Raw genomic sequence first — 20643 nt, forward strand, 5'->3', positions numbered from 1 at the left:
TTACAGCTGAATAAGAGGAGGTAGTGTCTAATTTACATAGGGCATGAAAGATTGGTCAGACCAGGTCTTCCATTTGCATAAGGCTCAAAAAACTGGTTAAGGCTAGATGTGCCATTTGCATAGCATGTGAAAAAGCTGGCCACCCCACTCTAATTTTTTATTATGCAAGTTGGTTCTCTACCTGGCTGGCGCCATGTTGCCTGCTTCTCTGTACTGTACTCGGGTGAAAAAGGAAAGGGAAGATGGAGCCTTCATGTTGAACATACCTGGCTTCCAGGTAGCCCTTTTCTACTGGCACAGCTGCCAGCATTCACCGTGAAAGCTTCCAACTTGCTTATCTATGTCTACAGCTTGATTTTTCAGACTGCTCTTTGTTAGAAAAGAAATGATTTGGGGGCTGCTTTTTGTTAAAACAGAAATTCCGCCGAGGTCTCTGTTGCCCTTACTATCTGTCTAAATAATTTATTTCTATCTCCTGTATCAATTTTATAAACTTCTTCATATTTAGGTGGGATAATAATACAGCATTACCATCTCATGCAAGTTATAATCATCCCTGCACCTGCTTAGGTTTGGTAGTTCCTAACTTTCTTATCCTCTTCTAAAACCAAAAGTCCAGACAGATAATATGTCAATAACAAAGCAAGTATTTACTTCATCTATTCAGTGTGTCATTTCAGCAGTTACATTAATAATGCAAACTGTGTGGTATTTTAAATTGCTACCTGCTAGTTAAACTCAAAAATATAAAAAAGACTATTAATTTTTTTAAATATAATGGTTGGATGATCCTCTACTTTTAGATGCTTGTAAACAGTTAAATTTAAATGACATCTGTGCCCTGGTCCCAGACAATTTTCATTTGAGGGATTTCCTCAGTATTTGCCTTGGTTCACTGGAGCATAGAGTGGCCTTGTTCAGTTGTTACACATTACTTTTGATCGCTCTGGCTGGGCAGTCAGGTCAAGGGGTATTTGTACTGAAGCTTCAGGAGTGCTTGCTTTGTCTTGATTTATATTTCCTCCAGCTGCTCTGAAGCATCTTTTTATTTCAGTGCAGATGCTAGATCCAGACATTCGGAGAGTTTCAACCTCTAAGGTGATAAAGACTGTAGATTCATAAGCCCCTCAGGCATCATTTGAAAATAGAGATGGTATTTAGAGTTTTGAAAGATAGATTTCACAGTACAACGAGGCTTTAAGTAAGCTACCTCTGGGCCACTTTTATACGCATCTGGAACTTTTTCAGTTATATATTCTGGCCACAATCCCTTTCCATTTGCAAATAAATGAAATGGCTGAAATGGTAGCTTGGGTGGTCTGTGAGCAGAGACTGATTCAGTCATTCCGTGTCACAGGGGACACCAGAGGAATCTGCCAAAGATTCATTCTGTGAACTCTGAGAATCTGAGACATGTCTTAGTTAATCTAGAAAGTTTATTTTGCCAAGGTTGAGGATGAGTGCCTATGACACAGCCTCAGGAGGTCCCGTCGACATGTGCCCAAGGTGGTCAGAGCACAGTTTTGCTTTATACATTTTAGGGAGACATGAGACATCAATCAACATATGTAAGATGAACATTGGTTCGGTCTGGAAAGGAGGGACAACTTGAAGCAGGGAAAGGTCTTCCAGGTCATAGGTAGATAAAAGACAAATGGTTGCATTCTTTTGAGTTTCTGATTAGCATCTCCAAAGGAGGCAATCAGATATGCATTTATCTCAGTAAGCAGAGGGGTGACTTTGAATAGAATGGGAGGCAGGTGTACCCTAACAGTTCCCAGTTTGACTTTTCCCTTTAGCTTAGTGATTTGGGGGCCCCAAGATTTATTTTCCTTTCACAATACCAAATATGCAGTTGTATCCCCAATAGTCAAGAAATAGATTTTTTTCCCTCTTAAAATCAGATATTAGTATTGTGATCTGGCCTCTTCTCTCCCATTCCTGTTCTCCATGGTAAGTCACCCAAACACTTTCAGACAACTTTCTAAATGTAAATCAGCTCTGTATTGTGGTTAATTCCAGGATGCAATGTGCAGGTGGAGGTGGGCATTGTAAAGGTATACAGCTCTGTCTTTAGGTCCAGCTTGAAACAGCTCCCTATCTGTCAGCCTTTGAGCCTGGGCCTTCAGACCAACTGGAAAACTCACCCTGCCTTTGATGAAACTTTCACCATCTATACCTAGCATCCAGAATTTCTACTGACAGCCTGTGTTGATAGTTCATGAATTTCTTTATTCCTCAAACCCCTGTCCTAATCTGGCTTCGTTCGCTTTTTGTTCTCTAGCCTTGATTTAATCCTATCCTATCTCCAGTCTTCAGAAGTCTAATTTTCCTTTTCAGGAATCTCTGTCTCTTATTTTCTATTTTTTTCACTACCCAGATATCTAGAACTCCTTTGGTGAACAAGAAAGAAGTCTACTTTACTTAACTGGTTTAAGAATAAAAGAGGAGGGAGAGGGATTTATTGGCCCACACAACTGAAAGGTGGAAGCACAGTCCTAGTTTCACATGTGCTGTTCCAGGTGTCCAAACAATTTGTCAGAAGTATCTCTCTTCATCTCTTAATTCTGCTTTCTTTTATATTGACTTTGTTTTGACCCTTCCCTCATGGTGGTCCCAAAGTTCCAAGTTTATAGTGTCAAAGCTCTTTGACCCTAGCACAAAATTATTTCTTATACCCCATAGTTATAATTTAAAAAAGGCCTAGGATTGAGTCTTTTTGGATAAACTTGTCATATTTTCACGCAGAAGTCAATTCTTCTCACCAGGAAGATGGAAAATGCTAAATGCCTAGGTCTGGATCACATGCATGTCCCTGGAACCTAGAAGATGCAATTAGGCATACTTCAACCACGTGCACCAAAAGAATATCAGGGCATTATCATCAGAGGAAGGTAGAATGGAATCAGACAGGTCAAACGAATAGGCATCCACCACAACCTACTATGACCCTTGGGATGTTTGGGTGGAATACAGACTAAGAGGATCTTAACCTAAAATGAGATGAACTCAAACTGGTGTTTTTAGCAAGCTTCCCAATTCATTCAGATACACCTCAATGTCTGAGAACCACAACCCTGGAGATCCTAGACATTCTAGCCACCTCTGCAGGTGTCCTTGGCCATTGAAACTCAGAGCTCAGAGAGATGACTCAAAGTATAAGTTTCAGATTTCCCCATTCTGCAGACATTTACTCAGCAAAATCTATCTTAGGCTCAGTTCTGGAAAAGCAAGGAGGACATACTGAGTAGTGATGAACAACAAAAAAAGCACCTGCCCTCCTGGAGCTTATATTCCAGTTGAGGTAATTGACAAATATGTGAATAAACACATGATATAATGGCAGATGACGATAATTATAGTAAAGAAAATGATGAGAAGCTAGCCAGGTAACAATGTGGGCAAGAAACAGCATTGTGCAAGAGAAACATAGCAGGTGAAAATGCCCTGCAGACTTAGGAGCATCAAGAGACAGCCAAAATAAGGCCTGTGTGGCTGGAGCAGTGCTTGAAGAGCAGCCTGGTAGGAAATGAGGGCTGAGGTACCCACAGGAAGCAAACCACATGGTGCTTTTTGGACTAGAATAAGAAATTTGGAATTCATTCTATGTCTTGAAAAGTAACTAGAAGATATAAACAGAGTAAACAGAAGATATAAATAGACATCATTTGTTTTACTTTTTTTTTTTTTTTGAGACAGAGTCTCCCTCTGTCGCCTAGGTTGGAGTGCAGTGGCGCAATCGTGGCTCACTGCAACCTCTGCCTCCCGGGTTCAAACAATTCTCATGCCTCAGCCTCCCTGAGTAGCTGGGACTACAGGCGCCCGCCACCACACCCGGCTAATTTTTGTATTTTTAGTAGAGATGGGGTTTCGCCATGTTGGCCAGGCTGGTTTAGAACTCCTGACCACAGGTGATCAGGCCACCTCAGCCTCCCAAATTGCTGGGATTACGTGCATGAGCCACTGCACCCAGCCTGTTTTGCACTTTTTTTTTCTTTGAGATGGAGTCTCACTCTGTCACCCTGTTTTACATTGTTAAAGGATCATTCCAGCTTCTATGTAGAGAAAGGACCACAGGGCAACATTTCTGGAAAGAGGAAGATCACTTAAGATGCAAGAGGTGATGGTGGAAAGAACAAGGCATGGAATATACCTGCTATGTGCTCATAAAAATTTTTTAAAAAAGAAAAAAGTCAATAGAATCAGGATCTATTTAAAAGTAGAGCAATTTGGACCTACTAAAACATAGAATGGGAGAAATAAGGAAAAGAAACGAATCCAGGATAAATGTATCTACCTGAGTACTGTTCTGGAAAATTGCCAGTTTTTGCTCTCAATGCTTTCAATCAGTAGCATGAGGCCCACCTACATTATCGAGTGTAATCTCCTTTACTTACAGTAACTGTAAATGCCAATCACATCTACAAAATACCTTCTCAGCAACATCTAAACTAGTGTTTGACCTAGCAACTGGAAGCCACAGCCTTATTTTTGTTTTTTGTTTTTTTCCTTTTCTATTTCCTGAATAATATAATTTATTTGTCTTAGATTTATGTACATTTGCACTTAATCTTCTGTTCCTTCTCAAAATGATAATAAAGTTTCCACTTCTGCCGCAAGCTTTCAGGACATGCAAAGAGACATGCAAAGCATCAGCAGAACCTCCCATCTCCTCCCCCCGAGAAAAGGTTTCAGGAATTCCAGCCTAAGAGATCAGGGTTTGGCAGCCCTGGTGAGCGCAAATGACTGACAGCAACAGCAAATACAGTACATTCTATGAGAGAAATGGGAAGATGAAGGCTGGGCTGTTGCAACTGTGTGTTCTCTACAAGGGAAGGCAGCCATTCGCACTAGTTGGCTTCATTAAGTAGAGTGTAGGCTTCTTGAGGACAGTGAATTAGCTCATTCTGTAGCCAGCTCCACTTCACTTGGTTTCCTGCTCTGTGCTTCAGAACCACTCAGTAAATATGAATCTAATTGAATTGGCTAGCAAGAAGGAAATAACTCACTGTTTGCAAAGTAGATTGAGCCCAGAGGTGTTCCTCGACAGGGCTTTAAAACCGCCACTGAAAACAAGATTATATTTTATTCCAATTACACTAAAATGAGTTCAGCTATACTTATATATTGAAAATATCCAGAGCAGTTCAATTCAGTGAGTGGCAACATTTTTCACAGCCTAAGGCACTCATTGAGAATGTTGGGGCAGAGAGGAGATAGTGAGTGAGATGGAAGGGGTGGAAGAAAGGCTAAACCCAATCCAGAAAATAAATCTGTAAATTCACTTCAGATTTCTGTTAAGGAAAGAAACAGTACAGCCATCACATTATGTTCTCTGGACTTTAGTCATTTGAGAATCACCCTGTGATTTTTGGCATGGCTTTTGTATCAGTCAGGGCTCTTCAGAGAAACAGAACCAATAGAAACAGAACCAACATACATATAATAAGAGATTTATTTTAAGGAATCATTTCTTGCAATTGTGGAAGCTGGCAAGTCCAAAATCTGTCAGGCAGGTTGAAGCTGGAAACTCAGATGAGAGTTGATTTTGCAATCTTTAGCCTGAAATCTGCAGGGCTTGCTGGAAACTTGGCCAACGTTTCTACAGTGCAGTGTGGAGACAGAATTTCTTTTCCTGGAAACCTCAGTTTTTGCTCTCAATGCTTTCAATCAATAGCATGAGGCCCACCCACATTATCGAGGGTAATCTCCTTTACTTACAGTAACTGTAAATGCCAATCACATCTACAAAATACCTTCTCAGCAACATCTAAACTAGTGTTTGACCTAGCAACTGGAAACCACAGCCGACCAAGTTGACAAACAAAATTAACCACTATACCCAATGTATTTATCCCCATTCATTCATTTCAAAGATATTTATTGAATGCTTCTATATGCCAAGTACTTTTCTTGGCTTCGGGGAAACGGTTGTGAATAATACAAAATCCCTGCCCCCTTGGAGTAACATTCTAGATGGGACACTCAGTGGAAGGAACAAGTTGGATGGGAAGAGAGAGGATCAAGAGTTCTGCTCTGGCAATTTTGAGATGTAGATGCCTCTAAACATCCATGCAGCACTATCCTTTAGGTTCTTCTGTAGTAAGGTCCAGAAGAAAATAAGGAAACGTGAATTACTTTAGATTTTTCCCTTGTCATAATGAAATGTGAGCATGAATATAATGTTAAGAAAAATATGCACAAAATCACAAACTGGTCATATTTTCCTAAATACATTAAAAGATATATACAGCTCTCTTTTTTCTTCATAATGTTACCTGATTTTTTTAAAAACTAATTTTAGAAGGAGGGATGGTATTGACCATTTTCCTCCATAACAACGTAAACACCAGTATTTCAAGAACTTTGTCTGTTTTGCTCACCACCATCTTCCCAGGACTGTTGTGTCATCAGAATTAGAATTTAAAAACAAGATAACATGGTTTATAAGCAGTGCACTGGAGGAAGGAAGGAAAGTGTGCGCCAGCCAGAAGCTGGATTGTCCCTTCCATCTCAGGTCTTTATGAAGTAGAATTCCAGGACCTTTCTTTATATGTGAGCCCCTCTAAGACTTGTCTGTGATCAGCAGGCCTTAAGGCTGGGTGTCATGACCTTCAGGAAGGAGATGAAAGAAAGACTCGGCAGGCAAGAAGAAGGTGGACATCGTGGTTGCAAGAGAGCAAACTTCAAAGAAGCTGTTGGAAAGGGCACTGATAACCTGCATTTGAAAGAGGTCAAAGTATTTGTCCAGTAAAACATTTAGAATCAATAGGGGGTCAGGGTTCCAGTGTTTGTACAGGAGACTGTAACATCAAGAGGCTTTATTTGTTGAGATCTCTGAATTTATAAAATGAGGGCCATGATGTTCTATTGCTTATGGAGGGGCTGATGTCTTCATCAGTGTCTGGAACAGTGCCTGAGGCATAGTAGGCACTCAGTAAACATTGAATAAATGAGTGAGTGAATGCATGAACTACTATTAACATTTTAAATGATTATCCATGATCCACCTAAAATTACCTTTTGCAGCCAGGAAATATGCCTGTCTAATAAGGAGTGGGGTGAGAGTGAAATATTGCCAAGCCCTTGGGGCTGCAGAACTAAGCTGTATTCTCCACTCCCCTTTACTGGTCATCTATCTGAAGTGGAAGAGGAAGCGTTTCTCGATTGGCCCTCCTGAAGCCTTATTAATAATTACATTCATTTTCTCTCAATTTAGGTTCAATGACACTCTAAACTTTAAAAAAGAGAATCCATTATGTTGGTTTGAGGAATATATGATTAATATACTGCAGTCATTCCTTCTAATCAGAAACAGACTTACCTCCCCGGTCACTGGAACTGATGAACAACTGCAGACTTTACCCAAAAGCACAGGAGGGTTCAACATGCAGATTCCTATCTGCACTGCACCCTCTTAGGAAGCAGATCAGAGACAGAAAACTCCAGAAGGCACGGAGCCTAGAATGCCTGCTTCCTTCTTCTAAATATACCTACCACATAGGTCAGTGGGGAGCAGTGAGAGGGGAGAAGGAGAAAAGAAGTTGTACATGTTCCTCCCTTAGATTGTCTTCTGGGACTTGGAGTGGGAATTCTCATACTTGAGGGCACTGTGAGGAGTGGGGAATAATTATCCCACAGAAGAGTTCTTTCAACATCAGCAACTTTTGAAAAAAAATCTGCTGGTCTATACCTGCCTTAGAAATCCAGTATGTTAACAATTTTAATTTGCCTCACTTCCTTCTGCCTCAAGGTTTAAAAATCTTCAATCTGGATTGTGCTCAACTCAAATATTGATATTTTGATATTTCTTTATTAATTAGGCAGCATTTGGCCACTGCAGATGTTGAGGCAATGTACAACATGACTTCTTGCTCCCTCTGATGATATGAAAAAATAATAGCCCTTTCTCCATGGATATTATTTTTGGAAAGCTGTGTCAGCTTCAGATATAAGAATACCTTAGATGCCCTGATATGGTTGAGGCAAAGGGAAAGCCACTCTTCTCCAAGGGGAATGGGTTACAGCAGAGCCAACAAGAAACTTGTGGATGTCAGCAGTGGTATGGCTACCACATGTATACCTTACCTGACAGCAGAAAGCTGGAGGGTGAGGGTGAAATATCACACTGTAGAAGAAATGCATGAGCATGTACATACACACACAAACACACACACACACACACACACACACACACACACAGAGTCTGTTAACATCAGCCTTTAGGACAAGTCCTACACTGGGTAAGAAAGAAAATGGAAGTGGGCAAGAATTGTTATATAGCTACTTTAAAAATTTCCCTGAAAAAGAACATGGTAATGTTGACATAACTCTATAGTAATGAAATCAGCTTTCATGGATAGTTGCAGAACTAGATCCATTATCTTAAATGTCAAACCACTTAATGCTATGATTTCTAGCTCAGTGACGGAGAATACTGAGGGATTTGCACAAACTGGTAAATCTCATGCAAGTTTTAGGCACATTTAAATCTGCACCAAGGTTAACCAAAATAGCTTAATAAAATGTACCTTGTTAACCCTGACTTCTGTTTAATTAGGAGCATCTGTATGCTTCACTAGCCGATTCTAAACTCTAGCAACTTTTTTTTACTTAGAGAGATTCATAATAATGTAACTTAATGATGCATAGAGTGCAGATCAGGTGATTCCATTTTACAAGCATTTTTTCAGAATGCTATGTCCTCCACCTGGAATGTTCTTCATAATCAAAAACTGTCAAAGATTGGAAGCCAACTCTTGAGATTACCTAATGAAAACCTTCCATTTATAGATAAGGGATCTGAGACCCAGACTTATCCAAGTCCATTTCTGAGTAGATAATAAAACTAGAATAATAACATAGCTTTCAACTCTCAATTTTTGTTCTGTCCTCTACCCATCCTTTAAAACTCAATGCAAGGCCCACTGTTACAAGAAGGCTTCTGTGACCCCCAATGATTTCTCACTTTGATGAATCCCTAATCGTGATCTATATTATGCCATGTACAGTTTGATTGAAAACTTGTCCCTCCCAATATTATGCTTCACTCTATATCTCTAAGGAGGTAATGATCTCTTATGGACAAAATTCATATTTTGTGATTATCTTGGCTATTCCAAAGTACCTAACAAAATCATGTGTTCCAGTCCTTATCTTCTAATGTAATTCTCCCTCCTTTAAGGAATTCAAGCATTTTGGTCCTCATCACTTCAACCCTACCATCCTTAGTAATGTCAAATTTCATGCACATGACTTTTTCAATTATAGACATACAGTAGAGGACAGAGACTGCATCTGGCTCATTATTCTCAATGACCTTCACCATCACCTGATCTCAAATCCCCAGCAAACATTAGCACATGTTCCCATTGCTCAGAAACATTCTACCTCCCATATCTCCATGTGTAAAATTCCCATTTCTGAAGGTAGCCTGTTATCCTTCCATATCTTTGACTTCCTCACTCACTCCCTTAGAATTTGCCTTTCTCAATCCTTCTTTTCCTGTCTACTGTGTCTCTTCCAGCTTCACTTGACACCCTATCCCGATATGTGTGAGCTAATGCTTTTATTTCTTTTCTTCCTTTGACCTGCAAACTTTTGAAAAGGGGAGTCCATACAAACTCCCTTCTCCTCCTTGCTACCAATTCAGTCTTTAACCCCTTGCAATCCAGGTTCTGCTTCAGCTCTTATTCTAAGACCGCAAATGGCCTTATTGATAAATCTATGAGCCTTCTTCATTCCCCCTGTTCTCTCTGAAACACTATTGACCATTCTGTCCTTCTGGACACCCTTCTCCCTCCTTGAGTTTCTCTTCATAGCAAGATGTTATTTGTTCTCTACCTCTATAGTTTCTCTGTGTCTCTTTCACTGACTCCATAGCTGCCTCCCACTCCTAAAATAATCTCAGCCCCAACATTATCCCAGTCATCACCACATATACATTATTTGCTGGACACCACCACAAGGATGCCTAATGTATATCACAAATTCAACCAAAATAACAAACTCTTTTTTTCCACCCTATACATGCAACACACACCAGACACCCCATTTCGCCGATGACAATATAATCTTTCAGCCTAACAGGCTGACAGTTTCCAGGTCACCTTCACTTCCTTGTGCTACAAATCTAATCAGTTGCCAAATCAATTTCATTTCTATTTTAAACATTTTTCAAAAGTTCCTCTTTAGTGTAGTTTTCCTTTTCTTTCTGCTACATTGTCCTAGTCCAGGCCCTCATTATCTATCCCCTGAGCACCCCAATAGCTCTGGTTGGGAAAATAGGACTGAAACCTAAAAATCAACATCAACACAAAGTAATATATGCTAAAGGATATGTGAATGGAAAAAAAAAAAGAGGTCCCTAACTGGCTATGCAAAAGTCAGATCTGGACACAGATATGTTTCATCTGACCTGAAGATCATTTTTACACTATTGAGTCAACTTTAAGGAAAGACAAAATAAAAATCTATATGTTCAGGTTTTCTGGTAAAGGGGGTGATCTGGCAACACTAGAGTCTAGTCCATTCAGTGTAGTTGTCAACTGGAGCTGAGCTGCAGTCCCCTCCTTAGACATCTGCTCTCTGAGGCCCCATAGGCATCACCATTCCCTAGCTTCACTCAATTACTTACTTTCACCTGGCTCTACTCAGCCATGCTTCTTGGTCCCCGTAGGTGGCTGAGTTTGTAAATTCTGTTGTAAAAGTCAGTGCTAAGGGTTTTTGTTGGTAAGGATGCTAGTTGTGCTGCATATATCCTTGACACCTAACACTTCATCTCTCACACAGTAAGCACTCAATAAATGTTGGGAGAAAGTTTTGGAGGTGCCTATGGGCAGGCAAAGTACAAAGGTACACAAAGAAAGCAGGATTTAAATTGAGCCTTGGCCAAAACAGGTGGATTTGATTAACATACAAAGAGGAGAGAAAATAATATTTGAGACAAAGAATATTCTGTTTTAATCCCAAATTTGGTACTTGTTGTTTAATCTTATTGTTTAATTTACTTAACTTCTTTGAGCCTTGGTTTTCCTGTCTGCTGAATTAGGATAACATATATGTCTTAGTGTTATTATAACTAAGGTAAATTAGTAAGATTCAATTACTGAAATACTGAAATTACTGAGATAAATTACATAGTAGAATTCAATAAATTGTAGTTATTAACAACAACAACAAGATAATAATAATAACTCCCTGAATAAAGTCACCAATAGATGTATACAGTCAGGGCATGTGGGTAGCCCAATTAGACTGAAGCAAAATGCTTCACAGAGGGAAACAATGATAGGTAAAAAAGGAGAGAGAGATGACAGAAACCAGAGTCAGTCGCCATTTCTCTCTCCAACCAACTCAAATCCTAAAGCTAACAAATGCATTACTGAGTTTCCTGTGGAAACAAAGTGTAACAAAGGCCAGGGACTGTGATGTGGTCCTCCAAGTAGAAAGAGCTTGAGCTTTGAATCAGATACACATGGGTTCTAATATCAGGGCTGGCACTTACTAGCTGTGTAAACGAGCCAGATTGTTAACCGTTCTAAATCTCATTTGCCTTATCTATAAAATGGGGATGGGATGGCCTTTTAAAATAGGGTTGCTGTATTAAACAGTAATATAAATGCTACTCATGATGGGAACACAATAAATCTTAGTTCTTTAAACTGTACCACGGTTGCACCATCATGTGCTATCTATCCTCTGTCCCTTTCTTTTCTTTCTCTCTTGTTTGTATTTGCCGCCTATGTTTTTCTCTATCTCTTCTTCACTAGGCTCTTTTGCCTCCTTATCTATACCTAGTGTGTTAAGTGTTTACTAAGATTAATCTCATTCAAAAGCATTTATAGACTCCTTACTGTAAGTCAGGCATTATGCTAATACACATGTTAGCACAGCTCCCTCTCCCTGTACTGGCCCTGGAAGTACTTCAAGCTCATTTTCACATATGAGCCATGTCCCTTCCAGGTAAATCAGTTTGCAAAGTATATCAGCTTGAAGTTAAACAAGGCCACATTCTGAGCCAAACTGTGCTCACATTTTCTGTAGTTCCAAAAGACTGTGTGGGCATAGCATAGAGAAGAACCAGGAAACCTGGGATAGGTATCACTGGAACTACAGGAAGCATCAGTGAACAACAGTAGAGGAACAAAAGTCAAAGGATAGCCAGGCGAATCCTTTGACCCATTAATCATATCTGTCAATTTTGCCTAAGGAAATAATTATGGATATGCACAAAGATTTAACTACAAAATATTCCTTCCAGACTTGTCTATAATACTACAAAGTAAAACAAACCTTAACATCTAACAACAGATTAATTCAATTATGTTTTATTCATGTAAGCTATTAATAAAGCGTGTCACAGAGGAATATTTATTAACAAGGAAAGATGCCCAGGCTGTATTATTAACTGAGAAAAGCAGGTTGCAAGGCAAAATATATGAATGAACCTGTGTTTGCAAGTATATATGAATAGAGAAAAGACTGGAAGCCAAGCGAGATGTTAATGATTGACTCTGAAGGTGAGATTATGAATTTTTACTTTTTATTTTGTGTTTCTAGCTTTGTTTCCATGTACCACTTTTATAACAAGAAGAAATACCACACACACACACACACACACACACACACACACACACACACAAGTGTTCTGTGAGTGGAGACAGATGATAGCTAGAAAGCTAGCAAGGTGGATGGATGATGATGATAGATAGATAGATAGATAGATAGATAGATAGATAGATCGATCGATCTATCTCCACATCAGGGAGGCACATCAAGCCAGATGTTTAGGAACACAGTGTTTAATGAGCCTTATGGGGTATCATTAGTAACAGGTTAATGAAAACAGGCAAAGGTCCTGCAACTTGTGTCCGAGCCTGTTCTTTTTGCCATCAGGTCGACGCCCACGGTAACATTCTCCTCAGCACCCTGGAAATCCGGAATGAGACGAGTGGCTCGGAAGTGCTCACGAGCGTGAGCGACCCCAAGGCCACCATGTACTCCTATGACAGCGCCAGCATCCAGTACCGCAAGCCCCTGAGCAGCCGCGAGGCCTACGGGCGCGCCCTGGACCGGCACGGGGTACCCAGCAAGGGGCGCATCCGCAGGCGTGCCTCCCAGCTCAAAGTCAAGATCCCCGACTTGACTGATGTGAATTCCATAGACAAGTGGTCCCGAATGTTTTTCCCCATCACCTTTTCTCTTTTTAATGTCGTCTATTGGCTTTACTATGTACACTGAGGTCTGTTCTAATGGTTCCATTTAGACTACTTTCCTCTTCTATTGTTTTTTAACCTTACAGGTCCCCAACAGCGATACTGCTGTTTCTCGAGGTAAGAGATTCAGCCATCCAATTGGTTTTAGGTCTTGCATATCAGTTTTATTACTGCACCATGTTTACTTCAAAAAGACAAAACAAAAAAAAAATTATTTTTCCAGTCTACCGTGGTCCAGGTTATCAGCTCTTTAAGAGCTCTATTAATTGCCATGTTTACAAACAAACACAAAGAGAGAAGTTAGACAGGTAGATCTTTAGCAGTCTTTTCTAGTTTCCCTGGATTTCACTGATTTATTTTTTAGGGAAAATGAAAAGAGGACCTTGCTGTCCGCCTGCACTGCTTCCTGGTAAACTATAACAAACTTATGCTGCCAAAAAAAAAAAAAAAAAAACATAAAAAAAAACACACAATTTCCAGGATCTCAGAAGAAAAAAACAAAGCCATTGACAAGTTACAGATTTCCAGGAAGAAGGCAAAAGAAAAAGGAGCTTAGACAGGGAAGGAAGAGTCCCCTCTATCCTTAAGTTCTCCCATGTCCGTTGTAAAAGGGCTCCACAGCTCCACAGAAGAAGAGGGAAGGAAGGACAAGCGCTGGTCAAGGTTATGCAATCCCAACCTGCCATCTTCACTGCACCATTAAGCTGGATATTCTGAAATATGCTTCTTTCTCGACTTTCCGGCAAATTTTAAATTAACATTAGAATCCAACCTGGTCGACCTGGTAGCCATTGAGAACATTTTTCTTTTTTTCTTGAGAATAAGGAGCTTGGAAGGCAATGACCATTTTTCTAACTGGCCATTTCAAACATGCAGCCCTGAATTCATCTCATCAGCCTGGAACCCCCTGATGCTGTGCCAGGAAGCCATGCCACCCCAGTTCCATAGTTCCTGCTCCAGAGAGTGTGGGAGGAAGGGGATGGTGAGCAATTTTTGCTTGAGAAAAATATTGCCCTTGCCATTAGGAAGGCAAGATTTATGTGCTGTGAAAAGGGTGCCTGGGCAGTTATCTGAACTGCCAAATCTTAAATCAAATAGTATATATTTCTTTGCCTTCTAGAGAGCAGTATCTAATGGTGACAGGCTAGTCACACAGGCCTCAACTGGCACTTCATGGCTCTGCTCTCTGAGCTCTGCATTCCAGACTGGAATGAATGCTTTGGAAAATGCACAAATACCCATGTTGATGTCATTCCCCTTCAGGACCAGAATTCCATTTTAAAGAAAATCTTGAAAATTGCAGAACTACAGATAAAAACAAGAGCGATGAGAAAAGCAGTGGAGCTTCCAACACATGCACCAGTCCCTAAAGAATAGACCCTGTCTACACTCATTAATCACTGTCATTGCTCCTCTGCTTTATCTCCGCTTGTGGATTACTCTTGGTCATGGTTCTCATAGAAGGGGCATCCTTCAGTAGCCCAACACAATTCTAAACATGTCCAACCAGCTACAGTTGAGATTCTTCCCATGTTATATCACTGAAACCTTGTCATTTTATTTTTCAACCTCAGTATCTAAGAATTCTGTATGTTCATTTGCAAGACTGAATGAAACTGTAAGCTAACCAAACACTGATGCAGGAGGTTTGGGACCTGACCCATGAATGTGAAATAAGGGTTGAGGTAATAATAGGGACGATTGCCTGGCTTAATGATCTAGCTTTTTCCCTAAGACTGTGATGGGGTCCATGTTTACAATAGCATCAGCTTCTGGAAATTACAGTCTTCACCGGACAGATGATGCTGAATTTTTACTGATGAGCTGAAGGGGAGAAAGGTACAAGATATTCTTTTAGAAAGCAAGAGGAAAAGGGAACCTTAAAATAAATGAATAGTTAAGGCTGAAGATAATATATATACAAAAACTCTGCTTTAACTGGAAAAAATGATCTCAGTGGTTTCATGATAGGGACCACATTTTTATTTAGATTTTTAGTTGTATTATCACACTTTCCTGGTCAAGGAAATCTCCAGCCTTAGGGTATGAAGTCATCCATTTTGAAACTCTTCAGTCCCTTGGCAGGGTGAGATGCTTTGCCATCATAAAATGGCCATATAGAGTGGCATGTGGCCATGTCAGTGATTGTAAGGTTAATATTCCGTAATGACCGCAAAGGAACCACTGTGCAGCCATTTATCTTAAACACAGGAAGGAAAATTGTTGGCTGATGCCTAATAAAAATGAATCATTCTGGGTGTCAAAGCTCTTTTAAAAGCTTTTAAGAATGAAATGCTAAATCAGAAAGGAAGTATCTGTAATCTATGTTCCTTAACAAACAATTTATTTTTATTTATCTATTTAGATTATTATTCTTGGGAAAGATTGAGAATATTTGTATTTTTATTATTATATTTTTATCTTGTCTTTAAAAAATCTAACGATTTTGATGCTGTAGTTTTAGATGTAAAGCATCTTCTGAGAAAAAAAGAGAACATTTTGAATTCATATCTTAACCTTTGTAAAATGTAAACTTATTAAGCCTGAATCTACCCATCAGGCACAAAATGGTGTCACCATATGCCCTCCTGGGCAGTAGAGGGGCCACAGCCAGCATTATAAAAATCCTGGTAAATAGCTGATTTTAGAGGCAGTGGCAGCCAGAAGAATGGAGAAGCTGCAATATTTATGGTTAAAGACCTCTATCCCCACTTCTTTCTGGACACCTGTGGGCCAAATTCTTCCCTCCTTGGCCCCACTCCTAGCCAAGTCCTCCCCTTTCAGGCTGAACAGTGAATAGAAAAAAAAAAAAACTTCCTTCTCTGGCTGTCTCCCTTGTCTTGCCCAAAATCATGTACATAAAATATAAATGTTGTTGGACATTCTTAAGTGCCCTCAAAACTGGCCCCATTCTTGGAAGATTCAGATTATTACATGATAGAGGGATTATTATTCAATCATTATTGGGTTGTTTTCTTTTTGCCATGAAAATAGCCATAATCCCCTGCATTAGTTAAGTTGAGGAAGAGGCTGAAAGTTACACAGACTCACTCTCTGATGTCCAAGTCATGTCCAAGTAACCCCATATCTACAGTTCAGAAACTGTGACATAAACTGTGTCATAGACTTCACCTGTGTAAGCCCATTGGAAATTCCAGCTTTCACTGGACAGTGATGACTGCATACTCATTCCTTCCAATCATGTTCCTTGGCTTAAAATATTAGGGATGACATGTGCATTACAATTACCAGCTTTGTGAGGCAAAGATCCAGGTCAAGATATATTTTCGGCTTGAATTATCCAGGATTATTGCCTCTGTTTTCTACATTGCCAAATAGAAACAGCAGATTGGTTGGTAATTCTGCCAACTGAATGATATGTGTTTTCATACATGCCATCTTTATTGTACATTACAATCAACAAAGGATCTTGAAAATGCAAAGAGAAAAAAATGTGGTGCAGAGAATAAACTTTGGTTTAAGGGTCCAAGGATAGGCATTCCTTAAAAAGCATTATGTACAATACATAAAAATGTTGACTAAATTCCATCTTTCTAAAATCAATGACTATTTTATAAATATTAAGAAAGAATTCAATTATAATTTGCCAAGTTAAACAAAAAAAGATATATTTATAATACTTCTAGAAGGAAATAATCTCCAAGATTTCTTATATGGACAATTTTGAATAGTATATTACCAAAGGGTGATGTGTCACCATTTTCTTTCCTAAACAAAGTAAATCATATATCCCAGGAGGGAGAAAAAAGGAATGTACAAGCATTTGTTCATGGTGGTTCAATCAGCATTACTGGGATGAGGGGGACAGAAAAACAAACAAATATGTCTGTTTCCTGAAAGCAAGCAGTGAACATAAAGGTAAATTTGTTAATGGAATGTAGACTATTACATAAACTTCCTTGTAAATTCTGTACATAGTTCATTGACCCTGTTGTGTGGTGGTCCTCAGCTTTGGGTGGATGTTCAAAAAATCTGAGCATTGTAAATAATGTAAGCTTATAAGGTATTTGCTTTTCTTCATGAAGTGAAATGACTAGTGATTTGGGCCCAAACCAGAATCTTTTTAGCTCTTGCTCTTTCTCTGCCATTTTGTGTGTGCAGTTGTGTAACTCTGCTGCAAGCCATAGCCAGGTGTCTGTGATCACTGCCTCATCCCCCTACCCCACTGAAAGGAACAGCAGCTGATGAGAAGGCGGCAAGCCTGTGGGGCTCAGGAACAGCGCACCAGCAGAAACGGAAACTGTAGCAAGCTGCTCCTTGAACTGCGTCATAAAGAGATTTGTCTTTATCAGTCATTCGTGGCTATTCATATATTCAGATACTGAATTATCCATGCCGTTGAGGGGGTCAGGAATGGAAAAGATATTCAAAATCCACAGGCAATCCAAAGCTTTATTTGCACCAACAGCTTTAGCTTCTAACTTGTTCTCTTCCAGTTTCCCGGAACTTCTATTAAGAATAGAAGTGAATGGATGGGTTTGATCAGGGTAAAGAGTCAAATGTCCAAATGATGGGAAGGAACAAAGGAAGGACAGTAAATGATTGGTAACACCAACAGGCTGATTCATTCCTGAAAGATCCAGAGGTAACCATGTCATTATTTTTTAAAGGCAAAGAGAAATATTGTTATACACTGGGACTTGAAACTAGTATTTTTGGCCAGACATGGTAATTCATGCCTGTATTTCCAGTACTTTGGAAGGCCAAGGTGGGAGAATCACTTGAGGCCAGGAGTTTGAGACCAGCCTGGACAACATAGCAAAGCCTGTCTCTGTTAAAAAAAAAAAAAAAAAAAAAAATAGCTGGGCGTGTTGGCATGCACCTGTAATCCTAGCTACTTGGGAGGCTGAGGTGGGAGGATCACTTGAGCCCAGGAGTTCAAGTGAGCTATGATCGTGCCACTGCACTCTAACCTGGGCAACAGAATGAGACTCTGTCTCTTTAAAAAAAAAAAAAAAGAGAGAGAGAGAGAGAGAAAGAAAAAAAACACACAAGTATTTGGGATATGTGTGATATGTGCTAATTAAGCTTAAAAGAGTCTGGTAATTAAATGTTCTCAAATACATTTCTCCCAAGTATTGGTATTCCTGAAAAAGTCTTCAGAATGGTGGAATATTATGCCACAAGATGTGTTTCCATGCAAACTGGCAGTCCCAGGGAGAGCAATGGTGTCTATAGAAATTCAGAATATCTAAACCAGCTTGTTTCTTAGTAATGTTTTAGAATGGACAACATCTTTCTTGGAGGTAAGAACTTTGCAAGATAGGACTTTTTATGCCAACATTTTAAGTGCCAGGAGAGTTCAGTAAGCCATGACTTTGAGATATATTGGTTCTAAAATTTGCCAACTAGGGTCCACCATCAATTGAGAAAGAAAAATGTTTTGTTTGAACTGATCAGGTCAGTCAGTTACTAGTTCCAGAACACACTGTGCTTTTACTGTAACCACGCTTTCTTTTTTTAAGATAACTGAAATCAACTAAATAGAAAACATAATTTTTGGAGACTGCAATTTAAAAGCATTTGAAAGGAAATCATTTTTAATAGAGGAATTGCAAACCAGAGAATAATAAGCTCCTGGAAGGATAAGGGTAAAGAGTTTTGTGTTTGTTATTACTTCTCCTATAGCAAGAAATTCTTATTCAAATTGAAACGGTCTAACAGTTGTTTGTTTGGGTGTTTTGTTTGGTTAGTTGGTTTTGTTTTGTTTTTTTCTAATTAAAAAGTCCTTGTTACATCAAGGGACTCATAACCATTCCCTATTGGCCCCTGGATACTTTGCATATCCTGAAACAACCAGCACTGATCAGAAAGCATTCAGTCCAGTCAGAATTCAAGGTGGGAAAAGTAGGTGTATTTCTGAACCATTTGGGAAGGAAAATCATTTTTCTGAACAACACTACCTGCATTTCTGTTTCTGCAGACAATCAAAAAACAAACCAATAAAAATAAGTAAGTGAAAGAAAGGCCAAATAGCATTATTCATTTGCCTTAGGTTTACAGGGTCACAGATTCATTAGCTTAATTACAACCTCATTTGGATGCCAAAGAATGAGCAAGAGCAATCAGTATTGCTACCTGGCTCTTGCTTCTTCTTCCTGGGTTTGTTTTGTTTTTCAGAGAAACAGGGAAGGGAGGACATTTTCTAATATAATTGTTTATAGGGACAAATTGTTAAAATATGATGTGTGTGCATTTTGCAAGTTTGACTTGTGTAAAATAGATTACCTCTCCTGTCTTCTTTCCTTCCCACACTGTATACCATCCTGCCTCATGTCAACCCAATGAAATTGATTCCATTATTTTTCCTCTTTCTTATTTCCAAACCTCATAGGCTATCTTGCCTATGAACAGTTGAAAGTTTTGACTTCTTTGGACTCAATTGAATTCACTAAAACAATGAATTTTAATAATTTTTTTCCAAATTCTTATTCCCATTGCCTTTAAAAGTCCTTTAGAGGCAGGTTGTATAATCATAATAGCCTCCTCTGAACTGCCTTGAGTTGTTTTTCTTTTCTGCTTTTCTGTCACTTATGTAAAGAGTACATGTATTTACATAAACCTTCTCTGTCCCGGCCTATTTCAAAATAAAGTGGAAATAAAAATCTTTAGCTCAATCTTACAGAAATTTATATTATCTACCCCAGAGTTTGAAGATAAGGCCATCTCCTTACACTATAATTGTAATATAGTGAACTTAAAGTGTATCAATCCTTTATCAAACTTGTTTATTCATTAGCTTTTTCAGTCTCCAGTAGGCCCATTTTACAATTTATTATTATTCCTCCTAGAAGGGCTTATCATTCAAATAGCACACCACTAGTTACAGACTATCCTTGATCCATTTCATCTTTTTTGTATATTACCCCCATTACAAATTTCTACTTCTATATAACACCCTACCCACTTCCCCTCAGCCTTGCAGACAGCCTGCAAACTGTCTAAATTTCTCCCATAAAAATATGTAGAACATCTGTTTCCTCTAGACAGCATTTATATAGATTTGGAAGAGAGTTCTCTAAACATATACCAAAGAGTATGCAGCCTAACCTCGAAAAGTTAACAATAAGTGAGCATCATGATGGAGAGAGGGAATTCACAGTGGATGGAAGACACCTTGGAATTATTAATATGATTGGGGACCTGGTCTTGGTGCTGTCTCTGCCACTGCCTAGGAGCATGACTTTGAACATGCCACCAGATGACCTCCAAGTTCTCTTCCAAAACTAAATTTCAAAGGTAATTTTAGAGAAGTTCATTTGTATGGGAGGTTAGCAGAAAGATACAGGAGGACCATGGCCTCTGCTAACATAACCCAACTAATTTGGTAATAATTCTTGATATCATGTCTTTGAGAGTAAGCCATCTGGTATCAAGTGAATTGAATTCAATACCTATTCATGTT

At 39.2% G+C, this 20643-nt stretch overlaps 1 protein-coding gene across 4 annotated transcripts in view, besides 2 other annotated features; it reads left to right on the forward strand.

Annotated features, from left to right (window-relative positions):
• Nucleotides 1-13671, forward strand: part of GABRB1 (gamma-aminobutyric acid type A receptor subunit beta1) — a 432801-nt gene extending 419130 nt beyond the window's left edge. For all 4 annotated transcript variants that reach the window (XM_024453977.2, XM_024453976.2, NM_000812.4 and 1 more), the window contains one exon: nt 12898-13671. In XM_024453977.2, coding sequence (XP_024309745.1) covers nt 12898-13242 — 345 coding nt within the window. In that variant the 3' untranslated portion in view covers nt 13243-13671. The remainder of the gene's footprint in view (nt 1-12897) is intronic.
• Nucleotides 1372-1952: an enhancer, noted in NCBI's record as "OCT4-NANOG hESC enhancer chr4:47416165-47416745 (GRCh37/hg19 assembly coordinates)". NCBI's record gives its function as "activates a minimal SCP1, AML or CMV promoter by ChIP-STARR-seq in primed H9 embryonic stem cells {active_cell/tissue: H9 hESC(primed)}" and the evidence as "EXISTENCE:reporter gene assay evidence [ECO:0000049][PMID:30033119]".
• Nucleotides 17331-17540: a silencer, noted in NCBI's record as "fragment chr4:47432124-47432333 (GRCh37/hg19 assembly coordinates)". NCBI's record gives its function as "represses an EF-1alpha promoter that drives an FKBP-Casp9 reporter gene in an ReSE screen in K562 erythroleukemia cells {active_cell/tissue: K562}" and the evidence as "EXISTENCE:reporter gene assay evidence [ECO:0000049][PMID:32094911]".

The sequence above is a fragment of the Homo sapiens genome, chromosome 4 (genome assembly GCF_000001405.40).
Source record: "Homo sapiens chromosome 4, GRCh38.p14 Primary Assembly".
Lineage (NCBI taxonomy): Eukaryota > Metazoa > Chordata > Mammalia > Primates > Hominidae > Homo > Homo sapiens.